This window comes from Homo sapiens, chromosome 11 (assembly GCF_000001405.40).
Source record: "Homo sapiens chromosome 11, GRCh38.p14 Primary Assembly".
Classification (NCBI taxonomy): Eukaryota; Metazoa; Chordata; class Mammalia; order Primates; family Hominidae; genus Homo; species Homo sapiens.
This window is the reverse complement of record NC_000011.10, coordinates 14,343,504-14,366,495: the sequence shown is the minus strand read 5'-3', so window position 1 is coordinate 14,366,495 and position 22,992 is coordinate 14,343,504. Positions and strand designations below refer to the sequence as shown.

Genomic DNA, 22,992 nt, shown 5'->3' with positions numbered 1-22,992 from the left:
GAGTGCAATGGTGCGATCTCGGCTCACTGCAACCTCCAACCCCCAAGTTCAAGGGATTCTCCTGCCTCAGCCTCCCAAGTAGCTGGGATTATAGGCATGCGCCACCACACCCTGCTAATTTTGTATTTTTAGTAGAGATGGGGTTTCTCCATGTTGGCCAGGCTGGTCTTGAACTCCCGACCTCAGGTGATCTGCCCGCCTCGGCCTCCCAAAGTGCTGGAATTACAGGCATGAGACACCATGCCCGGCCCAAAATATCTTATTTCTAGTAACTGGCCAGTGGATAAAAATAAATATGTCTTAGACTGAGTAATGGATAAGCAACATAAATGTATTTCTCACAGTTCTGGAGGCTGGGAAGTCCAGATCAAAATGCTAGCAGATTTCACGTCTGGTGAGGGCTCTCTGCTTTACAGATGGTGCCTTTTATGGGTCCCCATGTGGCAGAAGAGGCAAACAGTCTTCCTCAAGCCTCTTTTATAAGGGCATTGTGATGGTTAATACTGACTGTCAGCTTGATTGGATTGAAGGATACAAAGTATTGATCCTGGGTGTGTCTGTGAGGGTGTTGCCAAAGGAGATTAACATTCTGAGTCAGTGGGCTGGGAAAGGCACACCCACCCTTAAACTAGATGGGCACAATCGAATCAGCTGCCAGGGAGGCTAGAATATAAGCAGGCAGAAAAATGTGAAAAGAAAGACTGGCCTAGCCTCCCAGCCTACATCTTTCTCTCTTGCTGGATGGTTCCTGCCCTTGAACATTGGACTCCCAAGTTCTTCAATTTTGGAACTCGGACTGGCTCTCCTTGCTCCTCAGCCTGCAGGTGGCCTATTGTGGGACCTTGTGATCGTGTGAGTTAATAGTTAATAAACTCTCCTTTATGTATTTCTATTTCATTAATTATAGATTAATAAATATCTATATATCTATTTCATTAATTCTGTCCCTCTAGAGAAGCTTGAGTAATAGAGGCACTAATCCCATTCATGGGGGCAGAGCCCTAATAACCTCCTAAAGGCCCCACCTTTTAATGTTATTACATTTAGTATTGAGTTTTAACATATGAATTTTGGTAGGGGGGATTAGACCATAGCACTTATCCTTCTCATTTTCCCATATAAGTAAAAATTATTTTTAATGGCCACATAGTGGCCATTGCATCATTGATTTAACCAAGTCCCCGTTGTTGAATATTTAGGGATTTTTCAATTTTTCATTATTTAAAAAATTCTATGGTAAGACCAGGTGTGGTGGCTCACACCTGTAATACCAGCAGTTTGGGAGGTCAAGGCGGGTGGATAACCTGAGGTCAGGAGTTTGAGACTAGCCTGGCCAACATGGCAAAACCCTGTCTCTACTAAAAATACAAAAATTAGCTGGGCATGGTGTGGTGCACCTGTAGTCCCAGCTGCTCTGGAGGCTGAGGCACGAGAATTGCTTCAACCCAGGAGGCAGAAGTTGCAGTGAGCCAAGATCACGCCACTGCACCCCAGCCTGGGTGACAGAGTGAGACTCTGTCTCAAAAAAATAAAAAAAAAATGCAATGGTGGATACCTCCGTTTGATTCTTTCTGGTAGCCATGCAGAAGAAGAGAGGTATGATTTTTGGCCCTGCTCAGCCTTCTGGGCTCTTGGGTTCCTAAGACAGTGTGCTACATTGAGATGGATCTCAAGGTGGGAGACAGAAATCCGAGTTCCAGTCATGCTTCTGCTCTATTTCCAGGTGATGCTGGGGATTGCTCTTCTCTCTGTGGGCCTTTGTTTCCCCATCTGTGAAAGGAGAGCTTTAGAGGGAATGAACTCAAGATGGCTTTTCTGTTCTAAGGCTCAATGATTCTCAGATCATCCTCTACTAAGCTGCGGATTTCTCCAGCACCATTACGGCCTTCCTCAGGGTTGTGTGTGTGTGCACACGCTTGAGCGTGTGTTTCAATTTCTATTCTTAGCAATGTGATCTTTAAACAAGGAATAGATTTGTGCTTATGTCTCATCTCAGATGCATGCAGCTCCTGCTGGGCGGTTTCATTCTCTGCCAGCCATTCATTCACATTAAAAGCAATGGCCCATTAAGGAAATAAGTGGATGATGCTCCTCCATCACCCATGGTAAGTATTGCAGGCTCTGATCTGGGGGCTTGGCCTTCTTTGGCCAACAGGTCTTGGCTCTGTCTGTTGTAGCTACAGATGAGGTTAGAGGAATCTTGATTCTAGCATCTCCCTCTCCACTCTACCCTCAGATCCTGTCTCTGGGATGGGCCAGGGATGCTGTTTGGTCAATATTGGTTTGTAAAGATTATGAATAACCAACAGTCCAGATGAGATGGTCATTGTTTGTCCTGAAATAAAGAGTGGACAGGGATGAGCACCCTCCTCTAAGAGTTCTTGCTGTGGTGGTGTCTCAGGGTCACTTTATTTTATTTTATTTTTAGACAGAGTTTCGCTCTTGTTGCCCAGGCTGGAGTGCAATGGTGTGATTTCGGCTCACTGCAACCTCCGCCTCCCGGGTTCAAGCGATTCTACTGCCTTAGCCTCCCGAGTAGCTGGGATTACAGGCATGTGCCACCATGCCCAGCTAATTTTGTATTTTTAGTAGAGATGGGGTTTCTCCATGTTGGTCAGGCTGGTCTCAAACTCCCAACCGCAGGTGATCCACCTGCCTCGGCCTCCCAAAGTTCTGGGATTACAGGCATGAGCCACCATGCCTGGCCTATTTTATTTTATTTTTTGAGACGGAGTCCTGCTCTGTTGCCCAGACTGGAGTGCAGTGGCACGATCTCTGCTCACTGCAACCTCCGCCTCCCCGGTTCGAGTGATTCTCCTGCCTCAGCCTCCCAGGTAGCTAGGATTACAGGCACACACCACCATGCCCAGCTAATTTTTTTGTACTTTTAGTAGAGACAGGGTTTCGCCATGTTGGCCAGGCTGGTCTTGAACTCCTGACCTCAGGTGATCCACCTGCCTCGGCCTCCCAAAGTGCTGGGATTACAAGCGTGAGCCACTGCGCCCGGCCATCACTTTAGATATTTAATATACAAATTCAGATTCTAAGTCCGTGTCCTCAGAGGTTCTCATTTAGCAGGTCTGGGGAGGAGCCCAGTTTCTTCATTTTAAAAGACACTACAGGCTGCCTTTTATGTTTGAATAGGAAAAAAATAAATAAATAAAATACACTACAGGGGATTTGGAAGCACATCCTTCGTGGAGAACATTGTCATAGTAGGATTTGCAAGCTCTTAAAGCCCACTAAAGCCAGGCAGGTAACAAATGGGTGGTGTGTGATAGAAGAGTGCTGGTGACCCTGATGAACAGGAGGATCTTAAGTTTTCTAAAACGCAGTCAGTATTTAGCTTTAGCTAGTTGTTGCCAGATAACGCCAGTCCAGTGTTGCTAGATATTCCACTTAATTTTTCCAAGAAGAGTTAGAAATACTGATTTATTTGTGACATACCCTATTTTTAAATATCGGCAACCAATTCAAAATTTACACAAAAAATTTGAATTGTAGGCCAAAACATATGCGCTGGCTAGATCTGGCTCTGAATCTGCCTGTTGAAATCTCTTGACAACACTTTAGCCAAACAAAAGCTTGATTTAAGTCAAAATGATGCAGTCAACAGCTCTCTTGACTGGCAGCATCACACTGCTTCTGCGATGTGAGGCTCTCCGGGGTTCTGGATAACACCCAGCTTGGCATGGAGCAAAGTGCTCTGAGCAGGGGAGTCAGGAGACCTGTTTCCTAATCCCTGCTAACAACTTGCTAGGTGACATTGGGAAAGAAATTCTCTCCCTTGTCACAGGATTTCTTTCTATAAAGTAAGGGGGATGATCTCTATTGTTCTTTCCAAGGTTCTAGATCATTCTTTTTCATGAAAATGTATGTACTTATTATCTGTCAGCTACTTGAAAAGGAAACTTTTCAGATTAAGTTGAAAATTCACCTTTAATTGGCTTGAGTGACAACTAGTTCTTCCTCTCCCATATTCTCCTGTGTCTTCAGTGATTTGTGTTTGCATGGAAGTTTCTTTCTGCTGTATGCTTTTGGGGGTATTTTCTAAGGGAAAGAGCTCATTTTGGCATAGAAAGTCTGGGCGGGGTTGAGCATATGGACTTCTCATTTGCTGAATACTACGTTTGAGTCAAATAAAAAAAATAAAGGAATAGAGTTAATATAGGGAACATTCTGAAGTATAAAGCCACTTCCTTGAACTTCACAGTTCAAATGAAACCTTGCAATTGAATCTTTTTTCCTTGTAGCTTCACTGAGACATAATACAGACACAATAAAATTCACCCATATAAAGCATACAATCCAATGTTTTTAGTATATTTACAGAGTTGTGCAATCAACACCACTATCTAATTTCAAAACATTTTCAACTCCTCAAAAAGAAACTCAATACCTACTATTGGTTGCTGTAATCCTGCAACCACAAATCTGCTTCCTGTATCTATAGATTTGCCTATTCTGGACCTTTTATATAAATGGAATTATATAATATGTGGTCTTTTGTGTCTGTCTTCTTTCATTTAGCATAATGTTTTCAAGGTTTATCCATGCTGTAGCATGTATCAGGACTTCATTCCTTTTTATTGCCAAATAATATTCTATTGCGTGGCTATACGACATTTTTTTGTTTATCCACTCATCAGCTGAGGGACAACTGAGTTGTTTCCACTTTTTGGCTATTATATATAACATTCACAAACAAGTTTTCATGTGAATATATGTCTTCATTTCTCTCAGGTACAGATAAGTAGGGGTGTAATTGTCAGGTTGTTGGTAACTCTACATTTAATCTTTTGAGGAACTGACACATACAGTTTTCCAAAGCAGTGGCATCATTTAACACACCTACCAGCAGTGTATGAGGGCTCCAGTTTCTTCACATCTTTGTCAACACTTACCTGTCTTTTTAATTTTAGTCATCCTCGTGTGTGTGAAGCAGTATTTCGATGTACTTTTTTTTGAGACAGGGTCTCGCTCTGTTGCCCAGGCTGGAGTGCGGTGGCCCCGAGCTCGGCTCACTGAAACCTCCGCCTCCCAGGTTCCAGCGATCCTCCTGCCTTGGCCTCCCAAAGTGCAGGGAATACAGACATGAGCCACAACAATTTTGTTTTGCTTATGATTTTGTGGGTCAAGTATTCAATAAGGGTCGGGAGTGATGGCTCATGCCTGTAATCCCAGTACATTTTTTTTTTTTGAGACGGCTCTGTCGCCCAGGCGGGAGTGCAGTGGTGTGATCTCGTGATCTCACGATCTTGGCTCACTGTAACTTCCGCTTCCAGCGTTCAAGCAATTCTCCCACCTCAGCCTCCGGAGTGGCTGGGACTATAGGCGTGTACCACGCCCAGCTAATTTTTGTAATTTTTTGTAGAGACGGGTTTTGGCATGTTGGCCAGGCTGGTCTGGAACTCCTGGGCTCAAGCGAGCAATCCGCCTCCCTCGGCCTCCCGAAGTGTTGGGATTACAGGCGTGAGCCACTACAATTTTATTTTGCTCATGATTTTGTGGGTCAAATATTCAAGAAGGGCCGGGAGTGATGGTTCATGCCTGTAATCCCAGCACTTTTTTTTTTTTTTTTTGAGCCCGCATTGTCGCCCAGGCGTGGGTGCAGTGGCGTGAACTTGGCTCACTGTCACTTCCGCGTCCCAGGCTCAAGTGATCCTCCCACCTCAGCCTCCGGAGTAGCGGAGAGTACAAGTGCACGCCACCACTCCGGACTAATTTTTGTATTTTTAGTAGAGATGCGTTTAGCCATGTTGGCCAGGTTGGTCTGGAACTCCTGGGCTCAAGCGATCCGCCCGCCTTGGCCTTCCAAAGTGCTGGGATTACAGGCATGAGCCATTGCGCCCAGCCATCCCAGCACTTTGGGAGTTCGAGACTAGCCTGGGTAACATAGAGAGACCTTGTCTCTTAAAAAAAAAAAAATTACCTGATCTTGATGGCATGTGCCTGTAGTCCCAGCTGCTAGGGAGGCTGAGGTGGAAGGATCACTTGAGTCCAGAAGTTGGAGGTTGCAGTGGGCCATGATTGTGCCACTACACTTCAGCCTGGGTGACAGAGGGATCTTGTCTCAAAAAAGAAAAAAAAAAGATTTTTAAAAAAGGAATTCAGGATGGGCTGGCCTGGATGGGTATTTTTGCTTGGGGTCTCTCACGCAGTTGCATTCAGATGCTAACAGGGGATGCCGTCATTGGAAGGCTCGATTAGGCTGAGTGTCCAAGATGTCTCACTTAGATGGCTGGCAGGTGATGCTGGTGATCTGGTGGGAGCTCAGTGGGACTTTTTTTTTTTTTTTTTAAATGGCATGTTGCTCCTGGCCATCAATCAGACTTCGACTGGCATGCCTACATGTAGCCTCTTTAGCATGGCAGTCTTATGATAGTCAAACTTCTGACTTTGTTCCTCCCGGAGTGAGAATACCAAGAGAACAGCTGCATGGCCTCTTCTGATCTAGCCTGGGAAATTAGGCAGCATCTCTTCTGCTGCATTCTACTGGTTCCAAATGAGTTACCAAGTGAAGTCCAAGAACTTGCAGTCATGTTCCAAGATTGCTGTAAATGCTTCCTGTGTAGCAGCACTGTTTTATGTGCTCATTTAATTCTTATTAAAAACCCCATGAGGCCGGGTGCAGTGACTCACACCTGTAATTCCAGCACTTTGGGAGGCCGAGGCGGGAGGATTGCTTGAGGCCAGGAGTTCAACCCCTCGCACTCACACTCCTCATATCCAATTACTGCACATTTGTCACACATAAACATAGCCACTATGACACTGTACTGACACATACAAAATCTGTCACATTCCGTCTTGCCCATGCAAGCTCAATCACTGACTTATTCTCCATGCTCAGCCACTGTCCCATTCTTCACACTGTCACAACCACCAGCCCATCACACACTCAATTACTGTGACACAGCTCTAATCCTCAATCACTGTCACATACTGTTTTTCACACAAATATGGTCACCATCTGTACTCTTAAAGCAGGGTATGTACTCTCCTATAAAATTGAGTTAATATGCCAACAGCCCTATTTTTCGCACACGCCGTCACATATTGTATTTTTCATCCACACAATCCCTTACATAGACAATTAGGGTGACACACTCTTTCTGCCTTCGTCCCACTCCCAACTGACACCCACTCCCACACTCTCACGCACTCGCTCACTGGCTAGGGATTAGAGCGGTGTGTCCGTGGGGGTCTGAAGCCCGGGTTACCTCCCGAACCTCAGCCCCAAGCGGCGCGGCCCCGCCCCTCCCCGCCCCCTCATGCATATGCAGCACCTCAGCCTGGCAGCCCGGCCCCCAGACGGCCATTTGTGGCGGCGCTGGAGGCTGCGTTCGGCAGGCGCTGCGGAGACGCGTAGAGGAGCGCGCCCCCCGGCCGCTGCCGCCCCTGGCCCGTGCCGTCACCCCGCTTCTCCGCGCCTCGGGCGGTACCCAGCCAGTCCCCAGCGCCGCGCTACCGCGCTGACCGGCCCTCCAGACGCCTCCCGGTACCCGGGACCCCAGCCCGGCCGCTCGCCCGCAGCCCGCCGGCCGCACACGTCCCCGGAGCCGGGCCTAGGGCGGGCGGCAGCGGCGGCTCGGCGCAGTCAGGCTGGGCTCTGTAGCGTCCCCATGGCCGCGGCCGGCTGGCGGGACGGCTCCGGCCAGGAGAAGTACCGGCTCGTGGTGGTCGGCGGGGGCGGCGTGGGCAAGTCGGCGCTCACCATCCAGTTCATCCAGGTACCTGGAGCGGGCCTGCCCGGGGCGCCGGAGCGGCGGCGGGCGGGGGCTGGCGCTACCTGTGGCGGGGCGGCCGCCGCGACCTCGCCCCAGAGGCGCCTCGCGGGCCCGGGCCGGGGCCAGGGGGCGGGAGGGCGCGGGGCCGACTACGCTCCTGCCCTGCGGCCGCAGCGTCGCGCTCCTGCCTCCTCCCGGGCGCGGCGTCGCGGGAGTAGGGCTTCTCAGGAATGTGGTCGGGAGGGCGGAGCTGGAAGGGTGGGAAGCACCGATCCACCTTATTGCTCTGGCCGAGGCCAGAGACCTCCGGGAGAGGCTGGGCCACCGAGCCGGGCTTTACTGCTCCGAGGGTCCGGGCGTGGGGCTGGAGCTGGAGCCCCGCGCGCTGCTTTTCCAGCCGCCTGCGGCCGCGCCTTCACCGTCGGGGCGATAGCGGTGGCAACTTGGCCGCGGCTCCGCGTGGTCTCCGGGCTTCCCCGCGCCGCCTGAGCCGGAGCTGCCCGCTTCAAGTACTGTGTATTTCTTTGTGTGTGTGTTACGCTCTTTTTATAAGTACTCTCTTAGGTAATATGTCCGGGTGGGAGTGTGTGATAATGCCCCGGGGAAATGGTGGCTTCTAGGAAGTTAAAAATGTTCTCTGATGGGGTGAGACCATTTCCTAGGAATTCCTGATGCCGTCCTGCTTCTCGCCGTGCCTAGGTGAAGTTTGGGATGGGCCGGGCTAGGATATGACCGAGTCGTGCGTTCTGTTTTCTAACCACCCTCTCCCCTACCCCCAGCCCTCTCTGGTTGCTAGAGACGGTAAGTCAGGGGTTTGTGGTAAAGAAAAGGGAGGTGGTATTCTTCCTTCTTAGAATTTGCTCTTGGGGAGAGGTTTGAGTAGTCTTTTTTGGGATTTTTAAAACACAAAGCCCCGATGTCTTTCTGCTTTTGTCAACCTAAAAGGTGTGGCATATGCTGGGAGAGAACGAAGGTACCCTGTTATAACAGGAAACAAGGATATTTTTCACAGTATCTAGAGTATGAACGGTGAAATATTTTTGTCTGGTTTCCTTTTCACCCATTTGTCATTAATTGGGATACCTGAATAGCTTATTTCACTTAGTGTTTATAGTGACATTAAAATATTGAGTACTGTAACAAATGTGATTGTCACCTTTCACATTGAGTAAATGAGCAATAATTGCTGCTATAATATTCCCTGGATTACTGCTGCTAAAACCTTTGAATCCAGGAAGAAAGGATGTTTTATGTAATGAGCATTTACAGTATGCTTATTAGTGGGTTAAAAAAATCACTGAGTAAGGGGTGAGATTGGTTTAAGTTTAGCAGGCTACAGAATCAGGGATGCTGTCAGGTTGCTATTTCCCTAGGGCGCAGAGAGATTGTACGTATCTAATGGCAAAGCAAAACAATTTATAGCTAACCCTTTGGGGACTAGTCTGATGGCTGAGGGAGGGTGGGGGTGAGGGGATAAGTGGAGGAGAAGTCTAGGAGTGGGAGAATAATCTTGGGTTACAATATTGGTAGTGTTATTTAAAAGATTTGAACCACAAATATTTACGTTTTTTTGAGGAAGGGGCCATCTGAATTATTTGAGCCCATGTTAATTAATTAAGGTGTTGGGCCTTTTTGTTTTGGGGAAGTAATGGTATTAAACCATTAAGAAAGCGGTAATTGGGCCTGGCGTCGTGGCTCACACCTGTAATCCCAGCACTTTGGGAGGCCGAGGCGGGTGAATCACGAGGTCAGGAGTTCCAGACCAGCCTGGCCAATATAGTGAAACCCCGTCTCTACTAAAAATACAAAAATTAGCCGGGCATGGTGGCGCGCGCCTGTAGTCCCAGCTACTCTGGAGGCTGAGGCAGTAGAATCGCTTGAACCCGGGAGGCGGAGATTGTAGTGAGCCGAGATTGTGCCTGGGCAACAGAGCGAGACTCTGCCTCAAAAAAAAAAAAAAAAAAGCATTAATTGCCGTTTTCCTAATAATTTATAGAATCATTTGTTGAAGAAATACCTCCACTGTGAATAGTATAGTACCTGGATGCTCTAGATGATATTAAAGAAGTAAAGGAAGCAGGTATGTATGAGGAAGACATATGTGTACATAAAGAGTATGAACCTTGAGTCTTACAGACTTGAGCATGTGTGTCTTTTAAAGCTCTGTCATTTATCGGCTGTGAGAACATGGCCAAAATACTCAGCCTCTCTGAGCCTCAGTTTTCTCGCCAGTAAAATGGGTCTGATTACACATTCTTTATAACTTTTATGACAAAGATGGTAGCATTGTATCCAGCATGTTGTATGTGCTCAGTAATGGTAGGTGTTATCAGTGTTTATGCCTACAGTTCTGTAACATGTTTAAATGCAAAGGGAATTCAGACTCAGAGAAGTCTGTGGAAAAAATTGATGAAAGCATTATGTAGGCTTGGTGGTGGGGAGAATGGAAATGTCATATGTGGGAGTCATATGCTAGTTTGGAGAGAGGAGGTGGCAAGTGGGGAAGTGGGATTGATAGTTGATTTGGGACCTGTGATCTGGTCTCTGCAAAAAGGAGCCTTTTTGGAGAGACAGGAACCCGACCACCTGGATGCAGTCTCAGCTCTACCACTTGCTGCATGTGTAATTTTAGGCAGGTTACTTAACTTCTCTGTACCTTAGTTTTCCCCATCTGTAAACTGGGGAAATATGGTGGACCACATATAGCTGTGAAATTAAATGAGTTAACATGTCAAGGGCTTAGAACAGTGTCTAGTACAGTCTGTAGTAAAGCTGCATACATTTTTATATTAATTTTAGATTATGGAGCTAAAGCGATTTTTTTATATTTACACTTAATAGGGTAGCTATTCATTGCCTGACTCCTGGAATGTTAAAATTCATTCCACCATGATTGTTTAGCAGTAGTAACTGGAGGGAGAGAACACAGCAGACTAATCATTTTAATAAGCAGAAGTCAGTTCTCTTGGTAGGAGATTAGAATGGCACAAATTGGACTTACTTTTTTAAGACTCCTGAAACACCAGACTGTTTTTACAATTTTCAGTATATATATTTTCTACTATGTGATTTTGAGCAGAAAAAAATATAAAATTGGGAACGGAGAATTTAAAAACAATGCCTTTTACCCTAACTTTCTTTGACTTAGATTTAGTTGTTACCTTCTGTTCATATGAAGAGTTGCAAAATTAGGGAACTAAGATAATTAAATTGAGATACCTTTTCCTTTTTAAAAATAAATATAACAAATCATAAAGTAGCCATGATAAAATGTAAAGTATTATGTTATTTAATGAATATGTGTGTGTACATTACCTCCTCCTTTCTGTTGCTCATATTTCTTTGAAAAATGTGTAAAGTTCTGTTGGTAGGTAGAACACCTAAATGTTAAGTAAACTCTAGGTAGGAAATGACTTCAGGATGGTACAGAGTGGTTAGGAGAGACTGCTGGGTGTGTGGGGTCTATGTCTCTCTACCCAGGTGACTTTGAGTAGTTTCTTAATCTGCCTTTATCTCGACTGAGCTTCTCTTTCTTCCCCATGAAATGTTGGGTTTGGTTGAACAAATTTCTGCACTTTTGAAATTCTAGGAGTGTTTTTTTTTTTTTATTCATTTAACTAGCTGTGTGTTTAGTCAAGTTTCTTAGGTTCTCTAAACCCAAGTTTCACCATTTGAGAAGGGAGAATAACATTAAATAATAGTACCCTTAGGGTTTTTGGAGTAAATAAAATAATGCAGGTAAATCATCCAGCACCGTGCCATCTACAGAGTAAGCAAATAAGAATTGTTGGCTGGGCGTGGTGGCTCACACCTGTAATCCCAGCATTTTGGGAGGCCAAGGTGGGTGGATCACTTGAGGTCAGGAGTTTGAGACCAGTCTGGCCAACATGGTGAAACCCCACCTCTACTAAAAATACAAAAATTAGCCGGGCGTGTTGGTGCGTGCTTGTAATCCCAGTTACTCGGGAGGCTGAGTCAAGAGAATCACTTGAACCTGGGAGGTGGAGGTCGCAGTGAGTCAAGGTTGCGCCACTGCACTCCAGCCTGGGCAGCAGAGTGAGACTCTTGTCTCAAAAAAAAAAAAAAAAAAAAAGAAATTGTTACTTGGTTTTATTTGCTGCTGTTAGTTCTGTATCTTGGTGTTCCTCCAAAACAAAATTTGTAATTTTTTCATTTTTCTTTGACACATAATCTGGTCTATTACTTTAAGTCTTCATTGCCCTCTCCTTCCTGGCTCAACCCTATACTCCCCTCCTTACTTCTGTGTGGTATTCAGGTGATGAATGTGGATTCCGTTTTGAGTTGGAGAAATTTCTTTTTGTCAGTTTGGATTTAATTTTAAGAAATAATGAGGTAAGCATTTAATTTTGGGGTTAGTGCTTTATCTGGTAACTCTGAGAAAAGGCCATATATGTTTTAAAAATTTACAGGGAGGTTTATATATTTTTTTTAGCATATTAACTTTTTATTCAACAATTTGCCAGATTTTGAGGTAGGTAGGGGTTAGCTGATTTCTCACGTCTTGAATTTCAGTCAGTCCTATGACCTGTTAGTCTGGACCCAGCATTGCTTTTTAAAAGTTTGTCTTTTGCTGAGTACTTTTTCATTGCTTTTTCCTGGGGCAGAGAGCCGAGAAGAGATTTCAGGAGATTTGTGTTAATAGTTAATTGATCCACATGTGAAGGTTGTGAGTTTAAATTCCCAATTTGCTGTTCCATTGCTACATCTCGAAGATTTTTCCTGCAATTAGAAACTACTTAAACTGTTAACTTTTATCTATTATTTTGAAACTAGACATTTTTAGTGTTTAAACTTTTTTAACATTAATGTACAAATGAATTGTTAGCATTGAGAAATAAGACACCTGCCCCCAAAGTGGTACCATACTAAAGGTTTTCTTGTTTGGGGAACAGTTGAAATGGTCCTGCAGGCAATTCCTAGATAAAATTTCTGTACACCCAAGGAAGAACATTTTCTTATAGAGGATGACTGCCTTTGGAGAAGAAGGAAATTTTAACCTGCAGTTTCTTAACTTACGTCTTATTCTTGTTTTGTTCATTCTCTTTCTCTTTGTGTCTGTCTCTGTGTGTGTGTGTTTGTGTGCATGCGTACCCCTGTTTTGGGATAAGGAAGTTGTAGGAATTGAGTGGGGACACTTTTTTTTTTTTTTTGAGACGAAGTTTCGCTCTTGTTCAGGCTAGAGTGCAGTGGTGCAATGGCGTGATCTTGGCTATCTGCAGCCTCCACATCCTAGGTTCAAGCGATTCTCCAGCCTCAGCCTCCCAAGTAGCTGGGATTATAGACAGGCATGTGCCACAACACTCAGCTAATTTTGTATTTTTAGTAGAGGTGGAGTTTCACCATGTTGGCCAGGGTGGTCATGAACTCCTGACCTCAGGTGATCCACCCGCCTGGGCCTGCACCATGCCTGGCCGAGTGGGAGCACTTTTGTTGAGTAGGTCAAGAATACTGCTTTCCCTTGGTAGATAACAGGCTACTGCTTACCGGGATGGGATTTTAATTCATCTGATTGCTGAAATATCATGGTCTTTCCTAAGCTTTGAATAAAAATAGTCTGCTCCATTCAGTTAGGAAAATAAATTGATAACTTTAAATTGGGGGAGTAGAGTGGGAAGAGACTTTCTTAAAGCTATTAAAAAAAATTTTAGCTGGGCACGGTGGCTCATGCCTGTAATCCCAGCACTTTGAGAGGCTGAGGCGGGCGGATCACTTGAAGTCAGGAGTTTGAGACCAGCGTGGCCAACATGGTGAAACCCTGTCTCTACTAAAAATACAAAAATTAGCTGGGTGTGGTGGCGGGCGCCTGCAATCCCAGCTACTACTCAGGAGCTGAGGCAGGAGAACTGCTTGAACCTGGGAGTCGGAGGGTTGTAGTGGGCGGAGATCATGCCACTGCACTCCAGCCTGGGCAACACAGCAAGACTATATCTCAAAAAAAAAAAATGTCTCTCTCTCTCTCTCTCCCTCTCTCTCTCTCTCTCTCTCTCTATATATATATATTTTAAAAGTTTCTTTTTCAAATTAAAGTTGGTCTTTAAAATTGAAACAGATTTTGTGATGCCACTTGACACGCCTTTTTTTCTGGTTGGGGAAAATGGTCTTTAGGATATTAATTCCACCGTGCCTTCCTTAATGAAAAGTGATAATGAGTAAAGGATTTTCACTTTGCGTGTAGACAGTATGGAGTTAATAGTCATGAATTTTGTTGAAAGGCCTTGATCTTGAATTACTTTGGGCAGAGCTGCTGAGTCTGTTTGAGATTGAAACTTAAACTTGTAGTTGGTAGGCCTTAGATTTATTTCTTTTGCAAAGAAAAATGTGTTTCAAAGATGCAAAGAAATATAAATTGTCTTAAATTGTACTTGAGAATAATTGGACTGAGCTCCTTGATGTCTTATAAATTATATTTTATTTTTAGTGTTTTATAAAGGCCATGTGATTATTTGTTGCATAGCACTGAACAGCTTTAACTTATAGTTTAATTAAAAATGCAGTCAGTTTATTGTCGGTATATACTAACAGTTTAATATTGCCGTCTTTAACTTACTGTCACCTTATACAATGATTCTTTTTTCTGGGAGAAAGCTCTTTATCCATGTAAGTAAAATTCAGCAGTAGAAATAAGAATATAAGTGTTAAAAAGACATCCGATGTTGCTTTCTTTTTTGACTTTAACCAGATTTCCCAAATGGTAACATTTTACTATATTTGCTTATTCCCTGCAATATATGGTTTTTAAAATCATTTGAATGTAAGTTGAAGACATGATGCCACCCTTATCCTTAAATATCTCTTTGTGTATTTCCGAAAAACCAGGGCATTTGCTGTCTTCTTTTTTTTTTTTTTTTTTGAGACGGAGTCTCACTCTGTCACCCAGGCTGGAGTGCAGTGGCACAATCTCGGCTCATTGCAACCTCCGCCTCCTGGGTTCAAGGCATTCTCCTGCCTCAGCCTCCCGAGTAGCTGAGATTACAGGCGCCCACCACCACACCTGGCTAATTTTTTTTTTTTTTTGAGATGGAGTTTCACTTTTGTTGCCCAGGCTGGAGTTCAGTGGTGCGATCTTGGCTCACTGCAACCTCCACCTCCCGGGCTCAAGCCATTCTCCTGCCTCAGCCTCCCGAGTAGCTGGGATTACAGGCGCTTGCCACCATGCCCGGCTACTAATTTTTGTATTTTTAGTAGAGACGGAGTTTCACCGTGTTGGCCAGGCTATTCTTGAACTCCTGACCTTATGTGATCCACCTGCCTTGGCCTCCCAAAATGCTAGGATTACAGGTGTGAGCCACTGTGCCTGGCTGCATTTGCTTTCATGAATAAAATATACTAACCTAACTCAGAAATTAACATTGATTTGTTATTATACTATTACCTGATGTGTAGAATTTGTTTGAAATTTGCCAGTTGTTCCAGTTACGCCTTTTATAGCAAAAGAAAATCTCAGATTATCCAATTCATTATTTCCATGTCTTACTTTGGAACAGTTCTTTAGTCTCTGTGTTTTATGACATTGATATTTTTAAAGAGTACAAATTAGTTACTTATAGAGTCCCCTCAGTTTGGGTTTGGCTGATGTTTCTTCATGATTAGATTCAGGTTATGCATTTTTTGGGGGGCAGAAATAATACAGAAATTATGTGTTATTAGGCAACATAAGATGTGTTTATTTGACCACATACATGCCTTTTGACTCAGCAGTCCCAAATCTCAGAATTTACCCAGAAGATGCACTTCCCACAGTATGAAAATACACATGTACAAGGTTGCAGCATTTCTTAATTACAAAAATTAACAAGCAGTCTACGTGGTAGGAATATCCAATGGAGCATTATGCACCTGTGAAAAAGACTGAGGGCATGATTAACTGATATGGAGTGCTTTCTTGGATATGTTGTTCACTTGTCTTGGTTTGTCTTGCTTTCAAACAAGCTTGTCCAACACTCAGCCTGCGAGTGGCATGCGGCTCAGGACACCTTTGAATGTGGCCCAAGACAAATTCATAAAATTTCTTAAAACATGAGATTTTTTTTTTGCAATTTTTTTTTTAACCTCGTCAGCTATCGTTAGTTTAGCGTATTTTATGTGTGGCCCAAGACAGTTCTTCCAGTGTGGCTCAGGGAAATCGAAAGATTGGACACCCCTGCCCTAAAGGAATACCTGAGGCTGGGTAATTTATAAAGAAAAGAGGTTTTGTTGGCTTAGAGTTTTTGCAGGCTGTACAAGAAGCACAGTACTAGCATCTGCTTCTGGTGAGGGTGTAAGGAAGCTTCCATTCATGACAGAAGATGAAGGGGAGTGGCATGTGCAGAGATCACATGGTGAGAGGAAGCAAGCCAGTGGGGGAGGCGCCAGGCTCTTTTTAACAACCTGCTGTGGTGGAACTAATAAGTAAGAGCTCACTCACACCCCAGTCCCAGGGAGGGCATTAATCTATTCATGAGGGATTCATCCCCATGACCCAAACACCTCCCATTAAGCCCCACCTCCAACTTTGGGGATCAGATTTCAATATGAGATTTGGAGGAATCGCACAAACCAAACTTACAGTCAGTGAAAAAAAAGTGCAAAAGTATCTACTACTGTGTGTATACTACCTTTTGTGTAAGAAAGAAGGAGAAATAAGAAAATACGTATGTATTTGTTCATTGGGGCAAAAACAAAACACAAAGATAAATTGGAGGTTGATAAGATTGATTTCCTAGAGGATGGGTAAAAAGGTATATGGTGGAAAGGATAGAGGGAATGGGGGCAGGGACCCTTCTGAGGATACCTTTCTGACTTTTGAAACCATGTTAATGTTTCACATACTGAGTATATAAGCAGCAAACACACCAACCAAATCAACTGATGACAAATAAAAACACCTTAACAGGGAGTACAAATAGAAACAAATGAACTGAACCGTATTTCAAATGAGTAACTTAACTACACTGAAGGAGTGAAAAACAACTAATTTAGGTAACTTTTGATCCTAGTATTTGAACTCTGTCCTCAGGATAAAGACAAAAAGATTGAAAGAAACATTGAACTCTAGTTAATAGAGTTAACTAGAATTTTTGGTTTTTGTTGTTGTCATAAAGGCATGGGTTTGCAATTTTGAAGCAATTGTCTATACTGTTATAAGCAAATAAGTAAATATATTGTGGAAAATGGGAGCCAGTTTCTCACTGTTGGAGAAGGGAGTTACAAAGGTGAAAAATGTGAAGGTTAAAATGAACTCTGATGTTTGATTGGAATTGCAGATAGTGGCATAAATTCATAGTTTTAGAAGTATGTAGATATAGGCCGGGTGTGGTGGCTGACACCTGTAATCCCAGCACTTTGGGAGGCTGAGGCGGGTGTATCACGAGGTCAGCAGATCGAGACCATCCTGGCTAACACAGTGAAACCCCCCTCTTTACTAAAAATACAAAAAAAAAAAAAAAATTAGCCGGGTGTGGTGGCGGGTGCCTATAGTCCTAGCTACTCAGAAGGCTGAGGCAGGAGAATGGTGTGAACCTGGGAGGTGGAGGTTGCAGTGAGCCAAGTCGCGCCACTGCAGTCCAGCTTGGGTGACAGAGCAAGACTCTGTCTCTAAAAAAAATAATAAAAATAAAAAATGAATACAAAAAATTAGCCGGGCGTGGTCGCGGGTGCCTATAGTCCCAGCTACTTGGGAGGCTGAGGCAGGAGAATGGCGTGAACCTGGGAGGCGGAGCTTGCAGTGAGCCGAGATCGCGCCACTGCACTCCAGCCTGGGCAACAGAGCGAGACTCTATCTCAAAAACAAGAAACAAAAAAAGAAGTATGTAGATATAGAAATAGATCTCATTATGGATACACATGCGTACATCTGTACATCTTTTTCCACTTCTGTCTGCTAAGATGGCCAGGAAGCAGTGATACCCCTTTAGCAATGAGATCACCTAGCACTAGATCTTGGTTTCTAAATACCATTAATACTATTCTCTACTGGAAGGAACCTTAGAGAAATGGAGGATTCCAGAATAGGGGAAGGAAAAAATACAAAATATGCTTGGAGCATCTTGTAGTCTCATAAGGGAGTGCTCAAAAAGGTAAAATGATGGGGATATTTGAAAGAGACACAGGAGCCAGCCTGGCAAAACTCCCATTGACTGACTATAGGGCAATTTAATCATTGAAATAAATAAGGCAGTACTTGTTTATTACCCATAAATAGAGTAAGGATCTATGATAAATAAATGATCTAGAAGTCCTTAATGTAGAATTCTGACTAATGAATGAACATAAAGGAAAAGGTGGAATTAGTAAGTTGCCTTTTGGCAATTATAACAGTTGATTTAAGTAAGAACCATAAATGGATCTTAAAACTAAGTGGGTAAAAATGGATGTTAAAACTAGTATGTGAAAGTTTGAGAGTAGTAGATGTTAATATAGTCTCAAAGTATGTTCTCATAAGTTATTGTTAATTTTACAGGGGGAAAATAACAACTTTACAGGGGGAAATCTGACACCAACTTGCCCATGTGATGAAAGTCAACATCTTTGATGTTACTCTACATAATAATAATGAGCAGAGTTTGTTTTACTTTGTTATGCTAATGAGATCTTGTCTTTATAATTTGTTCAGCGAGGCATTGAATGAAATTAAGCCTAAAGGAACCAAGCAGAGCATAAAGGGGACCAGGTTTTTTTCTGTTTAAAAAATATATCTTCTTAATTTTGTAGCCAGATGTCTTGGGAGGGAAAGGTTGATAAATTTAGGTTAGGCCAGTAAGGTTTTGTCCATAAACTCTAATCTTTATTTAGCATAATAACTTCCTCCCTTTGCACCAAGTGTGTCTTTTGCTGTACAACTGTTTTTGTTTTTTTCTGTGTTCTGTGGTGGTTTTTGGAAAGTAGATTTTTTTTTTTCTACTGGAATTTATCTTAAAAATTATTTATATTCTTTTAAAAATTTTAAAGACAGGGTCTTGCTCTGGTGCCCAGGTCAGGCTGTAGTGTAGTGGTGTGATGACAGGTCACTGCACCCTCGGAACTCCTGGGCTGAAATGATCTTCCTGCCTCTGCCTGCCAAAGCGCGGGCACTACAGGTGTGAGCCACTGTACCTAAGTTTTTGATTTTTTGTAGCGACGAGGTCTCGCTATGTTGCCCAGGCTGGTCTTGAACTTCTGGCCTCAAGTGATCCTCCTGTCTTGGCCTCCCAAAGCGCTGGGATTACAGGTGTGAGCCATCTGTCCCTGTATAAAATGATTTATATTTTTAAACATACATAATTAGGGAATCAGAAAATAGTGTCTTATTCCCAGTTACAGAAAATGAGAATTAAGCACTTTTGTTAACCCTGTTTCTACCCACTCCTTTCGTACATTTTTTGTCCTTATTTACAACAACCAAAATTGTGTCAGATTCAGTATTTTTAAAAGATTTCAAAAATCTTCTGCATTCTGTTTTGTTATTACAATTACAATAGTTAATACCCATTGGCATTAATCCGTTTGTCATTAAGGGTTATTGCTTTTATTTGCCATTTCTATCATTCTACCTGGTTTTAGTGTTTACAAACAATCCTCATGAACAGCTAGTTTTAATTAATTATTTTTAAAATTGTCTTTATTTAGAGACAGGGTCTTGCTCTGTTGTCCAAGCGGGAGTGCAGTGGCATGATCATAGCTTACTGCAACATTGAAACTCCTAGGCTTTAGTAACCCTCCTCCTGTCTTAGCCCTCTGAGTAGCTAGGACTACAGGCATATGCCACCATGCCCGTCTAACTTTTTTATTTTTATTTTTTAGAGATGGGGTCTCATTTTGTTGCCCAAGCTAGTCTTAAACTCCTGGCCTCAAGCAATCCTCCCACCTTGGCCTCCCACAGGGCTGGTATTATAGGCGTGAACCACTGTGCCTGGCCTTTTTATTTTTAAATTGACAGATAAAATTGTATGTATTTATTATGTACAACAGGGTGTTTTGAAGTATATATACATTGTGGAATGACTAAATATAGCTAACATACGTACTATGTCACATAGTTGTCATTTTTGTGGTGAGAACATGTAACATCCACTCAGCTTTTTACAAGAGTACAATATATTGTTATTAACTATAGTTACTATGCTTTACAGCTACTTTTTATTTTGAATTGTGATTTAAAGAACATTTCCAAGTACTTTTTACTGAAAACATATCTAAGATTAAATTTACTTTTGCATGATAAATGATGATTTGGCTGGGTATAAAATTATTGGGTCCCAACATTTTTGTGTTATAACAGTAGAGGTCCTGCTTTATTTGTTATCTTTGTCTGGCCTCAAGTTTCTGTAGAAATAACTTCACTAGGTGTATGCTTGCAGCATTCTCTTATCATTGGAAATGGACACATTTATCAGGATATGACTAGAAGTTTTTCTCTGTCACTAGTATTCTCAGGGAAATGATGAAACACTCTCAGGTCTGGGAAGACTTCTCCATTTTTGTATTCATTTTTTTCAGTTATCTTCTTAAGTACCTATTATTTACACATTGATTTTCTGTAACTTTATAGTACATTGTTTTAAGTTAGCTAATGAAAAGGATAAGATCCTCTCTATTCTAGGAAGATTTATCAAATTTGTCTTCTCCATCCTTGATGAAATTTTCTGGATGTCACACATAATTACTGTCTCCAAAACATATTTAGTGCCCTTGATTTCTCGGTCTGATATTAAACAACGGTAATGTTCTCTTGTCTTTTCAGAAGGCCACAAAACTGGTATTTTTGTAAAGCTTGATACTATTTAATGAAACAACTTACAGGGAAGTGATTTTTCTTTGTGTGGAAGAATATATTTGTTTTTCTTGTTTATTCATGAAGAGTTGCTCATAGCTATTTTTGGTTTAGGAAGTTAAGAGCTGGTCATCTCTCAGAATTGCCTTGGGGTACTGAGATTTCTGCTTTGTTTTGGTGCTAAACAGCAAGTTGACGTTGGAGAGCTTCAGTTTCTTGGAGATTATCAGTAGCAGAATTTCAACAAATACAAAATTTTACTACACCCTCTAAATCTTAATCTCCAAATATGGGCTTTTGGCTGAGAGGTATACTTTTGTAGAATTAGAGATGTTTAAAAGGGATAGTTTTCAAGTTTTTAAATCCTTCATACCACAGCTTTCTGCAGTGAGGCAAGTGGAAGAGTGTGTGTATTCTTAAAAGAAGGTTATGGATTAGAAAACGATCCCTTTTTCCTTCTTTTGTTCTTCTGTAGCTCAGACCTTGAACAACGATCTGTGTCTGGTTCACCTTGACATTATCTTAAACCCTGTAAGCACTAGACTATAAGTATTTTAGTAGAGGACTTTATATATTTGGTGTGCTTTGTCTGTATCTATGTCTCTTAGTTATATTTGTACATTTTATTCATATTTGCATTTTCAGAATCGTAGACTAGGAATACCTTTGTTACACAGAACTAAGCACAACAAAATATTTGTTGCTATTTGCTAGTATCAAGTTTTGAGTGGAGGCCAGGTGCGGTGGCTCACTCCTGTAATCCCAGCACTTTGGGAGGCTGAGTAGGGCAGATCACTTGAGGTCAGGAGTTCCAGACCAGCCTGGCTGACATGGTGAAACCTCGTCTCTACTAAAAATACAAAATTAGCTGGGCATAGTGACACGCGCCAATAATCCCAGCTACTTGAGAAGCTAAGGCAGAAGAATCTCTTGAACCCAGGAGTGGAGGTTGCAGTGAGCTGAGATCACACCACTGCACTCCAGTCTGGGTGACAGAGTGAGACTGTCTCAAAAAAAAAAAAAAAAAAAATAAAGTCTTGAGTAGGGCACAGGAAATAAATAGTGGAAAAAAGAGGCTTTTGGAAAGATGAGTTGTATCTATTATGGTTCCATAGCATCTAGTTACTGAAGAAGAGAAAGAGCTGGCTATCATTTTGGATTTCAGAAATCATGTGTGGCATATACACGTTGAATCTTGAGTTTTAGAAGTTGATCCGTAGCATTCGGTTTTAGCCAAAATAGTCTTTGGAGAAGATAGTCCTTTCTTAATTTCTGTCTGGCAATTCTGACTTGGGAAGTATACAACAGTCTGAGAGTAAGGTCTTAAAAGTTGTAACTTTTGTTTTATTTCCTGATGAATTTTCTCTTAATGCCTGTTTTTGGTTAATGACGATGTGGTTGACGTTTCAGTAGTCAAAAGATGCGAGCTGAAAGGAAAGCTAAGCAGGTAGTCAAGTCAAACTGCAGAGGAAGATTTGTGGTAGATTTAATGTTTAAGTTTCAGAAATCACATGGAAAAGATATGTGGCTATTAAATTTGTAATTTTGTCCTTTTTGCCTCTAAAATTAAGGTGTGTCAACTAAGGGAAATTTGCCCCATGCAAGTAGGCTTGTGTGCAGGTACACAGAGGCATACATTTTACTTGAGGAAGGAGTGAATTTAAGGTTAGAGAGAGGTTTGTGGGTTTTTGGAATAAAAAAGTGGAAATGTGAAACAAAAGTTAAGTCTGATAATTTAATGACGAGTTGCAGATGTTTAAATTAATGATTGTAGTAGCTTGAGTACTACATGAATTATTATTTTCAGATAATGGCATGGAATTTCCATGCCAACAAGTTGGTTTAAGTGAACTACTTAAAATTTTTTTTTTAAATTATTTTGTTTGAGACAGGGTCTCCCAGGCTTGAGTGCAATGGCACAATCATGGCTCACTGCAGCCTTGATGTCCCCGGCTTAAGTGATTCTTCTACCTCAGCCTCTCCAGTAACTGGGAGTACAGGCGTGCGCCACCATGCCCGGCTGATTTTTGTATTTTTTTGTAAAGATGGGGGTTTCGCCTTGTTGCCCAGGCTGCTCTCGAACTCCTGGACTCAAGTGATCTGCCCACCTTGGCCTCCCGAAGTGCTGGGATTACAGGGGACTACTTTATTTTTGTTTTATTTTATTTTATTTTATTTATTTTTGAGACAGGGTCTCACTCTGTCACCCAGGCTGGAGTGCATTGGCGCGATCTCGGCTCACTGCTACCTCCTTCTGCCGGGTAGAGGCGATCCTTCCACCTCAGCCCCGGAAGTAGCTGGGACTACAGGCGTGCACCATCATGCCCCGCTAATTTTTGTATTTTTTTTGGTAGAGACGGGGTTTCGCCGTGCTGCCCAGGCTGTTGTCAAACTCAGGCTGAGCTCAAGCGATCTGCCTGCGTGCCTTGGCCTCCCAAAGTGATGGGATTACAGGCGTGAGCCACCACGCCTGGCCTACAGGGAACTACTTTAAAATTATCAAGTGACTTAATG

The 22,992-nt window shown here is 42.7% G+C and overlaps 1 protein-coding gene across 9 annotated transcripts in view, besides 7 other annotated features; it reads left to right on the top strand.

Annotated features, from left to right (window-relative positions):
• Positions 1,770-2,327: an enhancer, noted in NCBI's record as "NANOG hESC enhancer chr11:14385715-14386272 (GRCh37/hg19 assembly coordinates)". NCBI's record gives its function as "activates a minimal SCP1, AML or CMV promoter by ChIP-STARR-seq in naive H9 embryonic stem cells {active_cell/tissue: H9 hESC(naive)}" and the evidence as "EXISTENCE:reporter gene assay evidence [ECO:0000049][PMID:30033119]".
• Positions 1,990-22,992, top strand: part of RRAS2 (RAS related 2) — an 86,587-nt gene continuing 65,584 nt past the window's right edge. For 2 of the 9 annotated variants that reach the window (NM_012250.6, NM_001440708.1), the window contains exon 1: positions 7,313-7,733. In NM_012250.6, the coding sequence (NP_036382.2) occupies positions 7,626-7,733 (108 nt within the window). In that variant the 5' untranslated portion in view covers positions 7,313-7,625. Of the gene's footprint in view, positions 2,106-7,312; positions 7,734-8,028; positions 8,259-9,791; positions 9,811-22,992 lie in introns of those variants that run through there. The other 7 variants (NM_001102669.3, NM_001440711.1, NM_001177315.2 and 4 more) reach the window with 5 other exon arrangements.
• Positions 7,214-7,713: a silencer, noted in NCBI's record as "silent region_3172". NCBI's record gives its function as "represses an Ori minimal core promoter by ATAC-STARR-seq in GM12878 lymphoblastoid cells {active_cell/tissue: GM12878}" and the evidence as "EXISTENCE:reporter gene assay evidence [ECO:0000049][PMID:35858748]".
• Positions 7,784-7,983: a silencer, noted in NCBI's record as "silent region_3171". NCBI's record gives its function as "represses an Ori minimal core promoter by ATAC-STARR-seq in GM12878 lymphoblastoid cells {active_cell/tissue: GM12878}" and the evidence as "EXISTENCE:reporter gene assay evidence [ECO:0000049][PMID:35858748]".
• Positions 8,024-8,143: a silencer, noted in NCBI's record as "silent region_3170". NCBI's record gives its function as "represses an Ori minimal core promoter by ATAC-STARR-seq in GM12878 lymphoblastoid cells {active_cell/tissue: GM12878}" and the evidence as "EXISTENCE:reporter gene assay evidence [ECO:0000049][PMID:35858748]".
• Positions 8,384-8,483: an enhancer, noted in NCBI's record as "active region_4472". NCBI's record gives its function as "activates an Ori minimal core promoter by ATAC-STARR-seq in GM12878 lymphoblastoid cells {active_cell/tissue: GM12878}" and the evidence as "EXISTENCE:reporter gene assay evidence [ECO:0000049][PMID:35858748]".
• Positions 12,407-13,293: an enhancer, noted in NCBI's record as "H3K4me1 hESC enhancer chr11:14374749-14375635 (GRCh37/hg19 assembly coordinates)". NCBI's record gives its function as "activates a minimal SCP1, AML or CMV promoter by ChIP-STARR-seq in primed H9 embryonic stem cells {active_cell/tissue: H9 hESC(primed)}" and the evidence as "EXISTENCE:reporter gene assay evidence [ECO:0000049][PMID:30033119]".
• Positions 13,294-14,180: an enhancer, noted in NCBI's record as "H3K4me1 hESC enhancer chr11:14373862-14374748 (GRCh37/hg19 assembly coordinates)". NCBI's record gives its function as "activates a minimal SCP1, AML or CMV promoter by ChIP-STARR-seq in primed H9 embryonic stem cells {active_cell/tissue: H9 hESC(primed)}" and the evidence as "EXISTENCE:reporter gene assay evidence [ECO:0000049][PMID:30033119]".